The sequence below is a fragment of the Homo sapiens genome, chromosome 20 (genome assembly GCF_000001405.40).
Source record: "Homo sapiens chromosome 20, GRCh38.p14 Primary Assembly".
Taxonomy (NCBI): Eukaryota; Metazoa; Chordata; class Mammalia; order Primates; family Hominidae; genus Homo; species Homo sapiens.
In genome coordinates, this window is record NC_000020.11 from 58,851,452 (window position 1) to 58,863,632 (window position 12,181).

Genomic DNA, 12,181 nt, shown 5'->3' on the forward strand with positions numbered 1-12,181 from the left:
CTGCCTCCTGCCCAGTTGCTCTGTGCCTAGACGTGGCTCGCCAATCTGTCTCACTGGTGAGACCGACCTGATGCGCACCTGCCGAGTTTTATGTGACCCCCTTACAGCAGCTTTTCTCCCGGGTTCCAATCCCTCTGCAGACCCCAGACCAGAGCATAGCATGTGCACACATCAAGGCCACCAGGTGGTGTGGGCATTTACCTTTGGCTAGCTCTGAGCTCACCGCAGCATGGTAGCGGGAGCGCAGCTGCGCGGGCAACCGCCGGGTTTGTGGCCGGTTGGCGGGCTCAGTGCCGCCTCAGTGGGCTCTAGCAGTAGAAAAGTAAAGCGACTACCCTAAGATACCCAGAGCGAGAGGAGAGGGGCTAGAAGGGTGCTGGAGGCAGGCTGTAGTGGGGCTAAAGGAGCTGACTGACCAGCGCTGCGGCCGGTGCCCGAAGCAGCGAGCAGCGCACCTCAGCTCCGGTTGCCGCGCGGCATGGTATTTATCTGTGGGTTCAGTGCGCACAGCGTTGTCCAGTCTCGAAACCACCCTAAACCGGCATTAAACCCCAACCAAAATCCCCTTTAACCCTTCCCTAGAACAGCAGGACCTGCGAAACTCTGAGGCCGCTTTGTGAGGTCCTCCTCTGCGCAGCACGCCCCCCACCCCTCTCTTGGTGCCGCCGCAGCTACTCCCTAGGGGGCTTTGCTCTTGGTGGTACGCACCCGAGACCTTCTTATTCCCCTGCGTCACCATCCACATAAACAAGAGAGCACCCTGCTTGCGCCGCTGTGGGCCACTGCGGAGACCCCTAGAGTGTGATGGGGGTGGGGGCTGTTAAAGTGCTTTACCGGAGCCAACCTCAGCAAGTGACAAACAAAAGCAGCAAAAAGTACACCCAAGGCATTTAAAAAACAAATTGCGTGCTTGCATACTCGGCATCCCCTCTCCCTCGCCTCTCTCTGCTTCTTTGGTGGGCTCACGACCACCTGTCGCATCCCTACGCGTGCCTGCGCCCCTTCCCAGGCACCAAAAGCCTTGCGCTCCGGACTAGGGGCTTGAGATCCGGGGCTGCCTGGAGGCTGGGGGCTATGACTCAGAGTTTCAGGGGTATCCTGGGGTGATGAAATCCTTCTTCAGTCCCCCCTCCCCCGAGGAGTCGGTTGGGTTGGGGAGGGAGGGTTTCAGCTCCTGTACTCCAGCGTTCCGAGGCCCACGTCTTGCGTCACGTGTCCCGCAACGCAGGAGCGCTTTCTCTGGCCAGCGGAGAAGCGAGGAGAAAGACTCCAAATCAGTCAGGGAGAGGAGTGGAAGGAGCCAAAACGTCCCTGCGAGGCCTGCGCTCACCAGCCCCCTTACCCAAAGTCCCGGGCCCCTGGCGCCAGGAGCAGGCTCCTGGAGCCGGAGCCAGCTCGGCACTGGAACCGGCGTCCTCTGGTGGCAGAGAGAGAGCGCTACTGGCGATTTTCGGACCGAATCGGCACGCTCGTCAGATCCAAGCAGGCGGGACTGGCCTGGAGCAAAAAGAAAGAGAGAGGAGGGCGTAAGGATAGACCAAGGAAGAGGGGCTGGGGGGCAGCCTGGGGGCATGAAAAGTGGCCAGGAAGGAGCCAAGACTCCACCAGCAACAATTGAGTTGCTTCAGCCTCAGTCTAGGGTTCCTTCCAGGCCTTGAACCCCCCAACCTCACAAGGGTTGGAAAGTGAGGCCGGTGAACTTTCCAGCTGGTACTTTGATTTTAAAATAATAATAATAATTTTTTCACCCTAGTTCGGTTGGGTGCTCCATCTTACGGAGCCCCAAACTTATTTTGAGAGGCCGCCACCGTGTTATGGGCGTGCGCAACTGCCTCTACGGCAATAATATGTCAGGACAACGCGATATCCCCCCTGAAATCGGGGAACAGCCCGAGCAACCACCTTTGGAGGCCCCAGGGGCAGCTGCCCCCGGTGCTGGGCCTAGCCCAGCCGAAGAGATGGAGACCGAACCGCCTCACAACGAGCCCATCCCCGTCGAGAATGATGGCGAGGCCTGTGGACCCCCAGAGGTCTCCAGACCCAACTTTCAGGTCCTCAACCCGGCATTCAGGGAAGCTGGAGCCCATGGAAGCTACAGCCCACCTCCTGAGGAAGCAATGCCCTTCGAGGCTGAACAGCCCAGCTTGGGAGGCTTCTGGCCTACACTGGAGCAGCCTGGATTCCCCAGTGGGGTCCATGCAGGCCTTGAGGCCTTCGGCCCAGCACTCATGGAGCCCGGAGCCTTCAGTGGTGCCAGACCAGGCCTGGGAGGATACAGCCCTCCACCAGAAGAAGCTATGCCCTTTGAGTTTGACCAGCCTGCCCAGAGAGGCTGCAGTCAACTTCTCTTACAGGTCCCAGACCTTGCTCCAGGAGGCCCAGGTGCTGCAGGGGTCCCCGGAGCTCCTCCCGAGGAGCCCCAAGCCCTCAGGCCTGCAAAGGCTGGCTCCAGAGGAGGCTACAGCCCTCCCCCTGAGGAGACTATGCCATTTGAGCTTGATGGAGAAGGATTTGGGGACGACAGCCCACCCCCGGGGCTTTCCCGAGTTATCGCACAAGTCGACGGCAGCAGCCAGTTCGCGGCAGTCGCGGCCTCGAGTGCGGTCCGCCTCACTCCCGCCGCGAACGCGCCTCCCCTCTGGGTCCCAGGCGCCATCGGCAGCCCATCCCAAGAGGCTGTCAGACCTCCTTCTAACTTCACGGGCAGCAGCCCCTGGATGGAGATCTCCGGACCCCCGTTCGAGATTGGCAGCGCCCCCGCTGGGGTCGACGACACTCCCGTCAACATGGACAGCCCCCCAATCGCGCTTGACGGCCCGCCCATCAAGGTCTCCGGAGCCCCAGATAAGAGAGAGCGAGCAGAGAGACCCCCAGTTGAGGAGGAAGCAGCAGAGATGGAAGGAGCCGCTGATGCCGCGGAGGGAGGAAAAGTACCCTCTCCGGGGTACGGATCCCCTGCCGCCGGGGCAGCCTCAGCGGATACCGCTGCCAGGGCAGCCCCTGCAGCCCCAGCCGATCCTGACTCCGGGGCAACCCCAGAAGATCCCGACTCCGGGACAGCACCAGCCGATCCTGACTCCGGGGCATTCGCAGCCGATCCCGACTCCGGGGCAGCCCCTGCCGCCCCAGCCGATCCCGACTCCGGGGCGGCCCCTGACGCCCCAGCCGATCCCGACTCCGGGGCGGCCCCTGACGCCCCAGCCGATCCAGATGCCGGGGCGGCCCCTGAGGCTCCCGCCGCCCCTGCGGCTGCTGAGACCCGGGCAGCCCATGTCGCCCCAGCTGCGCCAGACGCAGGGGCTCCCACTGCCCCAGCCGCTTCTGCCACCCGGGCAGCCCAAGTCCGCCGGGCGGCCTCTGCAGCCCCTGCCTCCGGGGCCAGACGCAAGATCCATCTCAGACCCCCCAGCCCCGAGATCCAGGCTGCCGATCCGCCTACTCCGCGGCCTACTCGCGCGTCTGCCTGGCGGGGCAAGTCCGAGAGCAGCCGCGGCCGCCGCGTGTACTACGATGAAGGGGTGGCCAGCAGCGACGATGACTCCAGCGGAGACGAGTCCGACGATGGGACCTCCGGATGCCTCCGCTGGTTTCAGCATCGGCGAAATCGCCGCCGCCGAAAGCCCCAGCGCAACTTACTCCGCAACTTTCTCGTGCAAGCCTTCGGGGGCTGCTTCGGTCGATCTGAGAGTCCCCAGCCCAAAGCCTCGCGCTCTCTCAAGGTCAAGAAGGTACCCCTGGCGGAGAAGCGCAGACAGATGCGCAAAGAAGCCCTGGAGAAGCGGGCCCAGAAGCGCGCAGAGAAGAAACGCAGTAAGCTCATCGACAAACAACTCCAGGACGAAAAGATGGGCTACATGTGTACGCACCGCCTGCTGCTTCTAGGTAATGCGGCGGACTCTGCCTGCGGGCAGCAGGGCCGCCGGGGAACCGGGGAGGGGGTGGCAGGGCTGCCTGGTGGGGCTAGGGGCTCCGCAGTGGGAGGAGGGGGTCCAGCCAAAGGCGGGAAGAACTTGCTAGAAAGTTCCAGGGAGGGACCCTAACTGCCCTGGGAGCGGGAGGGGATCTTTGGTGGATTCGGGTGGCCGAAGTATATGCCCTCCAGGGAGAAAAGTGGTGCCGAGCGACACTGAGGGTCGTTTCCGGCTGGACAGGCCAGCGCCAGCAACCGTAAGCTGGACAGGCAGGGGCTTCAGGTGAGCCAGGAACTGCCGGGGAGGGGCCCCGGGGCCCCGGGACTCCCCTGGCTAGGCTGGTGGGGTCCACGGTGGGCTGGGGTCATTGGGGAAGGCGCGCCCCGCCTCGCCTGGCACGGCTGCTTGGACTCAGACAGCTTGTCGTTGGTGTGTGTTGGTGTCCATATTCTGTGTTCGCCTGTGCATGATACGCTGAAGTGTCCCCTGTTCCTATCCCGGCACCCCCAAATTACCCGCCGACTGTGTACTTGTACTTGGGAACGGGCTGTGTTGTGGTTTGCGCCATGGCCCGGGCAAAAAACTTTCGCTGTTCGCACACTCTGGTGGTACCTGCGCCCGGGCGCTCTGCGGCAAGCGGTGCGGAGGACACGCGGGGAAGGTGGCGGGGCCTCCCGGGAAATAAGCGGGGCCCTTGGCCTGGGGGAGCGGGGAATCGCTTTTCGCCGGCCTCCGCGTAACCTTGTTTCTGTATGTCTTTCTCTCTTTTTCCTTTTGCGCTAAGCGTTTCCTCACTTCTCATTCGTTCGCCAAACCCTCCCGCCTTTACAGTTGAAAAACCAGACACACAGGTATCTGGGGCGCCCGGGGCTGCACACCTCAGTTCGGTATTCTGCACACACACAGCTCGCCTGGTCGGGGGATGGGGGAAAGGGGAAACACAACCTGCTGTAGGCAAGTCCGGATCCCAAACCACTTGGGGGCTGGTTCCAAGGGGGTGGGCGTGGCTGTGTTTAAAAAATATGAAATAATTTTTCTTCCTAGCGAAGAGCCCGAGGTAAGCCAATCATTTTTACAAAGAGTACAGTAGGAGGGGCTTGGTTTAAAAAGATGGGGGTTATGTGTTGTGAGTGGAATGTCACCTTTGTGTTTGAAATGCAACTAAAATAAAAGTTTTCAAAAAATGCTCTGAGTGTATTTGAAGTGTGTGGACAAAGTATGGCAAAACCGTGAATATGACTTGTGAAAACAAGTAAATGTTTGCATGTGAATTTTTTCAGGCAGCTTTAGCTGGGGGCAAAGAGGCTTGTCAAAGGTAAGGTCTTCTGCAAATTGGCTCTGGATACAAAAAATATATAAAGGTATTTTGATTACAGAAGTTAAAAATCATGATATTCTTGTCAGGAGGGTATTTTGGTGGCCTTCTACCTTCCCCCTCCTCCTCTGCTCACATTTCCCCACCTCTCGGTGCCCTCCCCTCTCCAGGATCCCCCTCCTCACCCCACAGCAAGACCCTCTCCTGTATCTCCCAGTCTTTCCCTGGCCATTCCCAGTTCCCCACCCTCCCCCCAGCCCCCCAAGACTTCTTAACTTCAAATCTGGGGCATTAAATATTTTTGCCACATTTAAACAAAGCATCAATTAGCAATGGTCTGAATATGTGGTTTAAATGAAAACTTCCAAACAAACTTCACAAGCTTAATTTTTACATTTTATTCTCTAAGACTTTCTCTAAGACCTTCCAAGGGATTTCAAGATCACAGTTTTTAAGGCTGCGCTACATTTGTTAAATATGTTAGAATGTGTGATGGTTTTTTATTAATGGCATTATTGGCATATAACTGTGCTATTGTGATGTGGCTCTCACAAATCACAATTTTAAATGTGAGGATCATTTTGTGTATGCCCATCCAGGTAGATCATGACATTGTCATTTACCTAAAGACATATAATATGGTCGTTGTTTTAAATTTCAAATGTCTCAACTACACTAAAGCTACCAAACATTAAATGACAATGCACTGGTTTCCCTGCAGACAACTGATTTTGCCATAACAGACCCATTTCAATATTCCAAGCACAGCTCTGGGAAGCAAACCTGTAGATTGGGGGTGGGAGGACATAAATGCATACAGACAGGAGACCCAAGTGACAGTGTGCACCTGACCCCTAATTGTCAAATTGGTGATGTGCCTTACATGCGGGGCCTCAGTTGCCTCCTTTGTGAAATGAAGCTTTCCTAGCAGATCTCCACTAAGGAATGCTTTTGCACCATGATTTGAGTCTTCTATTCTTCCTGGAGGTGGGGGGTGGAGGAGACACAGTCTACTTACATCAGGACTGGAGACTTATACCATAGATTGTGCAGCCATCAATCCTGCAGCAAACTGTCCATGTTTGGGACCAGTCTTAAGAATATTAGAAGTTTCCTTTGTCTCCCCTTATTTTGTCACCAGGAGTAAAAATTAACTTTAAGAAAAGGAAATTTGCTGGGGTCACCTTGTACCTTGTCCTGGCTTTGTTCTCGGGTGCTGGTAGCCAAACACCTTTGGATGCAGCATAGTCCAGAAGGTGGGCTGGCAAACCATGGGCCATGTCTAACATAAGCCTGAAATATGATAGCCAGTGTTAGCTGCTAGCTGAAACTGTACCACTGCAGTTTGTCAAAGCAGGCTACAGTTTTTGACCAGGCTTCCTTTTGCAGAGGTGACGTACCTCTTCTGGACCTGAATTATTGATGGGGGACAGGGAGAGGAGGAAGGATGAGGACTTACTCACATGTAGGACAAGACTTTTTACTAACTTTTTAGTCCCAACATATAAAACAAGACATCCATACATCCCTACCACTGAAAATGCAGATCAAATGGCTGTCCTTTGATATGGTTGCTAATTTGTGACATGCAGATTCATCTGTTGCTTGAAAAAATGTATGTTCATGTGCTTATCCTTTCTGTTTTTATTGCCGGGACAATTTAATCTCATTACAGGGAATCCTAAGAAATCAAAGAGAGAGAGAGAGAGAGAAAGATAGATAGAAATCAGTAATATGATTAAAATTCTAAAATATCTAAAGAGTTCTTTTTAAAGAAGCCTTTTTCTTACTCAACACTATCCACCAATAGACTGTTTCCATGTTTCTGTTACGTTTTTAAATAATTTTGGTGGCTTAAACATTTTTTAAAACTTCATTTAGGTGTGATTTCCTCCTTAAGAACTGAATGGGGCTAATAGATCAGAGTTTCTTAGTATCTGCCACATTTATTAAAATTGTGTAGGCAAATGCTATATATAATAATGGCTATTCTGCTATGATGCTTTATTTATACAGTGAATCACAATTAATTGTATGATTATTTATGCCACCAAGTGCAACAGTATGCATTGTATTCCATCTTGCAGAAGCACCTTTTTATTTTTCTTTTCTCTCTCTCTCTCTCTCTTTTTTAACATACAGCCATTTTTTTATATTCTAAATGCCTCCACTGAGCTTTTGGTGTGGTAGGAAGGACATGGCTTATCAGGCCACAAAATTTTGGAGTCCAGATAGATTTATTATTTTCTCTTTTCAGTCTCCTAGTAAGATTCATGCTTCTCAAAGTCTGAAATTCTACCTTGGTTTTAATTCTTACAGATTTCTCTCAAAAAAAATTTTCCCATATAGGTAGATTAATGTTTAAAATTTACCCCCATTATTTACAATGGAAAACTGGTTTTAAGCAAAAAGAATTGGGGGTCATCCCCTTACTGTATGTATCCTCCTAACTTGAAAAGGAAAATCTCACTGCTCTCAGTATGATTAGTAACCAGTAATAATAATAACACATTCTGATTACATTTTTTGTTTGTTTGATTTGAAACAAAGTCTCCCTCTGTCACCCAGGCTGGAGTGCAATGGCAGGATTTCTGCTCACTGCAACCTCTGCCTCCCAGATTCAAGCAATTCACCTGCCTCAGTCTCCAGAGTAGCTGGGATTACAAGCGTGTGCCACCATGCCTGGCTAATTGTTTGTATTTTTAGTAGAGATGGGGTTTCACCATGTTGTTCAAGCTGGTCTCGAACTCCTGACCTCAAGTGATCTACCCAGCCTCCCAAAGTACTGGGATTACAGGCATGAGCCACTGTGCCTGGCCACATTTTACATTTTTTAAAGCCTTTCATCTAGTCATATTTGTCTCTTGAAACAGTCCTGGGCAATAAAAACGTGATAGGGCCCCATTTCATAGGCAAATAAACCAAAAGCTCAGAGATTAAATATCAGACACTTTTTTTTTTTTTTTTGAGAAGGAGTCTCGCTCTATCGCCCAGGCTGGAGTGCGATGGTGTGATTTTGGCTCACTACAACCTCTGCCTCCTGGGTTCAAGCGATTCTCCTGCCTCAGCCTCCTGAGTAGCTAGGATTACAGGTGCATGCACCATGCCCGGCTAATTTTTGTATTGTTAGTAGAGATGGGGTTTCACCATGTTGGTCAGGCTGGTCTCAAACTCCTGACCTCGTGATCCGCCCGCCTCAGCCTCCCAAAGTTCTGGGATTACAGGCATGAGCCATCGCGCCCGGCCATAAGGCACTTTTACTCAAAGACTGCAAGGTAGGTAAAGGATCACAAATTTCAAATTCAGATAATGCTTACCAGAAATGTGATGATAAGCTATAAAGCATTATTTAAATGTAAAGCATGATTATTCTAAGTATACTATGTGCTCTTAAAATCCCTTGCCAAATGACACGTGTCGAGTAGTCTGCTACTTTCTGAATTATAGCAAAACGCACAGATCCCTGGTTATAAATGTCCATTGAGTATACATGAAACATGAGCTCCCCCATTTCTGAGATGGCTGTCATTGCTTTGGTAATATTTCATTTACACATTTGCTTTAACTCATCTGCCAGCACTGCAACGTTGCAGTCTTAGTTTGTTGGGCTACTGTTTTCCTTTTTTTTTTTTTAAATGCAGGTTTTTTTAAAAGTTTTTTGGTTTTTTTGTTTTGTTTTGTTTTGTTTTTTTGCAGGGTCTAAAGCTTTTCTTCTTGTTTAGGTTTCCACTAAATAATAATTAATCATTATAATAATAAAATGCAGTTACTTTTCTGCATAGCTCTATTATAAGTATAGCGTTAGAATGTTTAGAATCCTGGTCTGGATCTCATGATCTTATCAAAATAACTCTGCTCCATAGTCTTTGTAGTGATTTTTTTTTAAAAGTATGCCTTACTTCTAGTCCAGGCTAATTTCCATTTAGCAAGAGTCAGTGCGTGGTCTTAGAAATCACCTTTGACTTTTATGCAGGAAGGTTAGTTGTTGTTGTTGTTGTTTTTAAGATGGAGTCTCGCTCTGTCACCTAGGCTGGAGTGCAGTGGTACTATCTCGGCTCACTGCAACTTCTGCCTCCCAGTTCAAGGGATTCTCCTGCCTCAGCCTCTCGAATAGCTGGGATTACAGACATGCACCACCACACCTGGATAATTTTTTGTATTTTTAGTAGAGATGGGGTTTCACCATGTTGGCCAGGATGGTCTGGAAATCCTGACCTCAGGTGATCTGCCCACCTTGGCCTCCCAAAGTGCTGGGATTACAGGCATGAGCCACCGTGCCCAGCCAGGAAGGTTAGTATTAAGCAAAACATAAATTTATTTTTAGAGAAGGTAACCTAGATTTGAAATTCCCAAAGGCAGCCATGCTCCTTCTTCTTTTTAGAGTTAGTTTTTCCTCCAAATAAAACTTACCCCCAACCCCAGCAAAATTGTGGCTCTTCAAATGCCTCTAAATAACTCTCAGGAGACACATCAGTAGTGAACAACAATTCGTTTCTACACTTCTTGGTTTCTTTTAGCTGTAGTAGCAAATGTGAGGTTCCTCTCAAACCCACTCACGCCATTTGCCCATTTAAAAATCAAATTTCTCAGGAGGAGTAGCAATTTTCAAGAGAGAAGGGACAGGGCCAATTGATGTCACAAGGTCCTCACCATCAATTAAGACAAGTCAACGGAGGGAACTAAAAGCACTGGGCAGCCTAATTGACCATCTCTGACCCCTTGGAATAGGGACTAGGAGACTCTGGCCCTAACACGCACCTTCACAGATTTCATTAAATTAGACTGAATGGAGCTTTTGTTCCCATCAGATTCCTGTTCTGGCCTGTGGTCACCCTAAGCATAAGATCATGTTCTCTTTAGGAAGGAAGAGGAGAATGGACCTGAGCCTCTCTTTGGGAGTTCTGCTGAAAAGTCTGCAAGTCCTAAGTGGCCTTTATGCAATTTAGAGACTGGAAGGAAGGCACGAATATAAATTGGGGGAAAGAAGCCCCTGAACAAAGGAGAGGAGAGGTATTTCAAAAAGAGGATATATTCTTTTTTTTATTGAGACGGAGTTTTGCTCTTGTTGCGCAGGCTGGAGTGCAGTGGTGCAATCTTGTCTCACTGCAACCTCCGCCTCCCGGGTTCAAGCGATTCTCCTGCCTCAGCCTCCCGAGTAGCTGGGATTACAGGCATGCACTACCACGCCCCACTAATTTTGTATTTTTTGTAGAGACGGGGTTTCACCATGTTGGTCAGGCGGGTCTCGAACTCCTGACCTCAGATGATCTGCCCGCCTCAGCCACCCAAAGTGCTGGGATTACAGGTGTGAGCCATGGCACCTGGCCTTTTTTTCTTAATTCCCCCAAAAAGAGGGCCAGCTACTAGAAGCAGTTACAATTTGAGAAATCTGGAGTCTTTTTTAAAGGGTAACATGTTCAACCCAGTGCTTGGCACATATAAGTACCCCAAAACATGTTTTGGGTTTTTTGGGTTCTTTTTGTTGTTTTTTGTTTTTTGAGACAGGGTCTCACTCTGTCGCCCAAGCTGGAGTACAGTGGCATGATCTCGGCTCACTGCAACCTCTGCCTCCCGGGTTCAAGTGATTCTCCTGTCTCAGCCTCCCCAGTAGCTGGGATTACAGGTGCCTGCCAGCATGCCCAGCTAACTTTTATATTTTTTAGTAGAGATGGGATTTCACCATGTTGGCCAGGCTGGTCTTGAACTCCTGACCTCAGGTGATCTGCCCACCTTGGCCTCCCAAAGTGCTGAGATTACAGGTGTGAGCCACCATACCAAGCCTCGACTTTTAATTTTAGAAATTTATTTTCCTCCTAGATTTTTTTTTTTCTCCCTGCTCCAAGTGAGGTTTTGGGTTTGGTTAGTTTTCTGTTGTTGCTGGGTTTTTTTTTTGTTTGTGTCTTTGTTTTTCTGTTTTTTGCATTTCTCATTAGACTATTAACATGTAAGTTCTAAAAGTGCCAGCCATCTCATTCTGTCTTTCTGTCTCCACCTTTCAGAGTACATTCTTTGTTTACATTTTGTAAATAAAGGTCAACTCAAGCAGTAGACGAATGCCACCTTGCCACATTTATAATTGTGTGAAGTCACTCTCAGGTGAATGATGTGCCAGAGAGAGATGAGGAGATAACTTACTTTTTGACTTGTCCTGTAAAAGTGTCACCTGTCACCCCTGCCTATCCAGCTCCCCCTTCTGTTTTGATTAGCTCCTAACTATAAATCAACTCAATACCGAGGCTGAGCTCAAGGACCTGAGCTTGGATTGTTCTATGGTTATTACACATGAAAAAAAAAAAAAAAAGAAAGAAAGAAAATGTGTTTAGTTTCCTTTCCAACAGCCAGATGGTGAACCAGGCCAGCTCATGGGAATTGAAGATGAAGAGACCTCCAAGAAAGAGGTAGGGAACAACACAACAAAACAATGTTTGACTTTTCATTATGTTGATCGTCACATGCTCTTTGAGCACACACGAGTCACACACCTTTCAAGTTAGAATCAGTGGAGCGCTTTTCTACATGCAACAACTGGGAGCTATGCTATGGGAAGAATGTTAGGCAACTGATCTGTGACAGGGCAATGGAAATTAAGGGAGTGTGCCTCTGTTGTACTTCCTTAGAGTAAAATCCCAAATTGCATTGCAGAGTAATTTGTTAAACCTCAGGAGTATTTAAATTCAGGAGTATTTTGACTTGTGGAGTTCTGCCCACAGAACTGCACATTGGATCTTACTAAATGTTTTTTAATGATTCAATTTGGGGCGAGGAGAGAGGTATAAAGGTAGTATAAATTGTTATCCAATCTCAAATTTATTATGAGTCAGTCAATGTTTCCGACATTGTCACACACACACTGTGTGTGGGACAGAGTAAGTACTTTTAACTTCCTTTAATGAGTTGATAATGGGAAGGAAAAAAATCTCTGTACTACTTTCTAAAGAGTGTCACAGTTGAGCTT

General features: G+C 49.7%; 1 protein-coding gene across 13 annotated transcripts in view, besides 3 other annotated features; it reads left to right on the plus strand.

Moving 5' to 3' along the window:
- Positions 1-12,181, plus strand: part of GNAS (GNAS complex locus) — a 71,445-nt gene that overhangs the window by 11,704 nt on the left and 47,560 nt on the right. For 5 of the 13 annotated variants that reach the window (XM_017027812.3, NM_001077490.3, NM_080425.4 and 2 more), the window contains exon 1: positions 1,265-3,882. The exons of 7 other annotated variants lie outside the window; for them this stretch is intronic. In XM_017027812.3, coding sequence (XP_016883301.1) covers positions 1,815-3,882 — 2,068 coding nt within the window. In that variant the 5' untranslated portion in view covers positions 1,265-1,814. Of the gene's footprint in view, positions 1-1,264; positions 3,883-4,102; positions 4,194-4,695; positions 4,763-12,181 lie in introns of those variants that run through there. One more of the 13 variants, NM_001309883.1, reaches the window with a different exon arrangement.
- Positions 1,107-1,206: an enhancer, noted in NCBI's record as "active region_18178". NCBI's record gives its function as "activates an Ori minimal core promoter by ATAC-STARR-seq in GM12878 lymphoblastoid cells {active_cell/tissue: GM12878}" and the evidence as "EXISTENCE:reporter gene assay evidence [ECO:0000049][PMID:35858748]".
- Positions 3,140-4,016: an enhancer, noted in NCBI's record as "H3K27ac-H3K4me1 hESC enhancer chr20:57429646-57430522 (GRCh37/hg19 assembly coordinates)". NCBI's record gives its function as "activates a minimal SCP1, AML or CMV promoter by ChIP-STARR-seq in naive H9 embryonic stem cells {active_cell/tissue: H9 hESC(naive)}" and the evidence as "EXISTENCE:reporter gene assay evidence [ECO:0000049][PMID:30033119]".
- Positions 4,017-4,892: an enhancer, noted in NCBI's record as "H3K27ac-H3K4me1 hESC enhancer chr20:57430523-57431398 (GRCh37/hg19 assembly coordinates)". NCBI's record gives its function as "activates a minimal SCP1, AML or CMV promoter by ChIP-STARR-seq in naive H9 embryonic stem cells {active_cell/tissue: H9 hESC(naive)}" and the evidence as "EXISTENCE:reporter gene assay evidence [ECO:0000049][PMID:30033119]".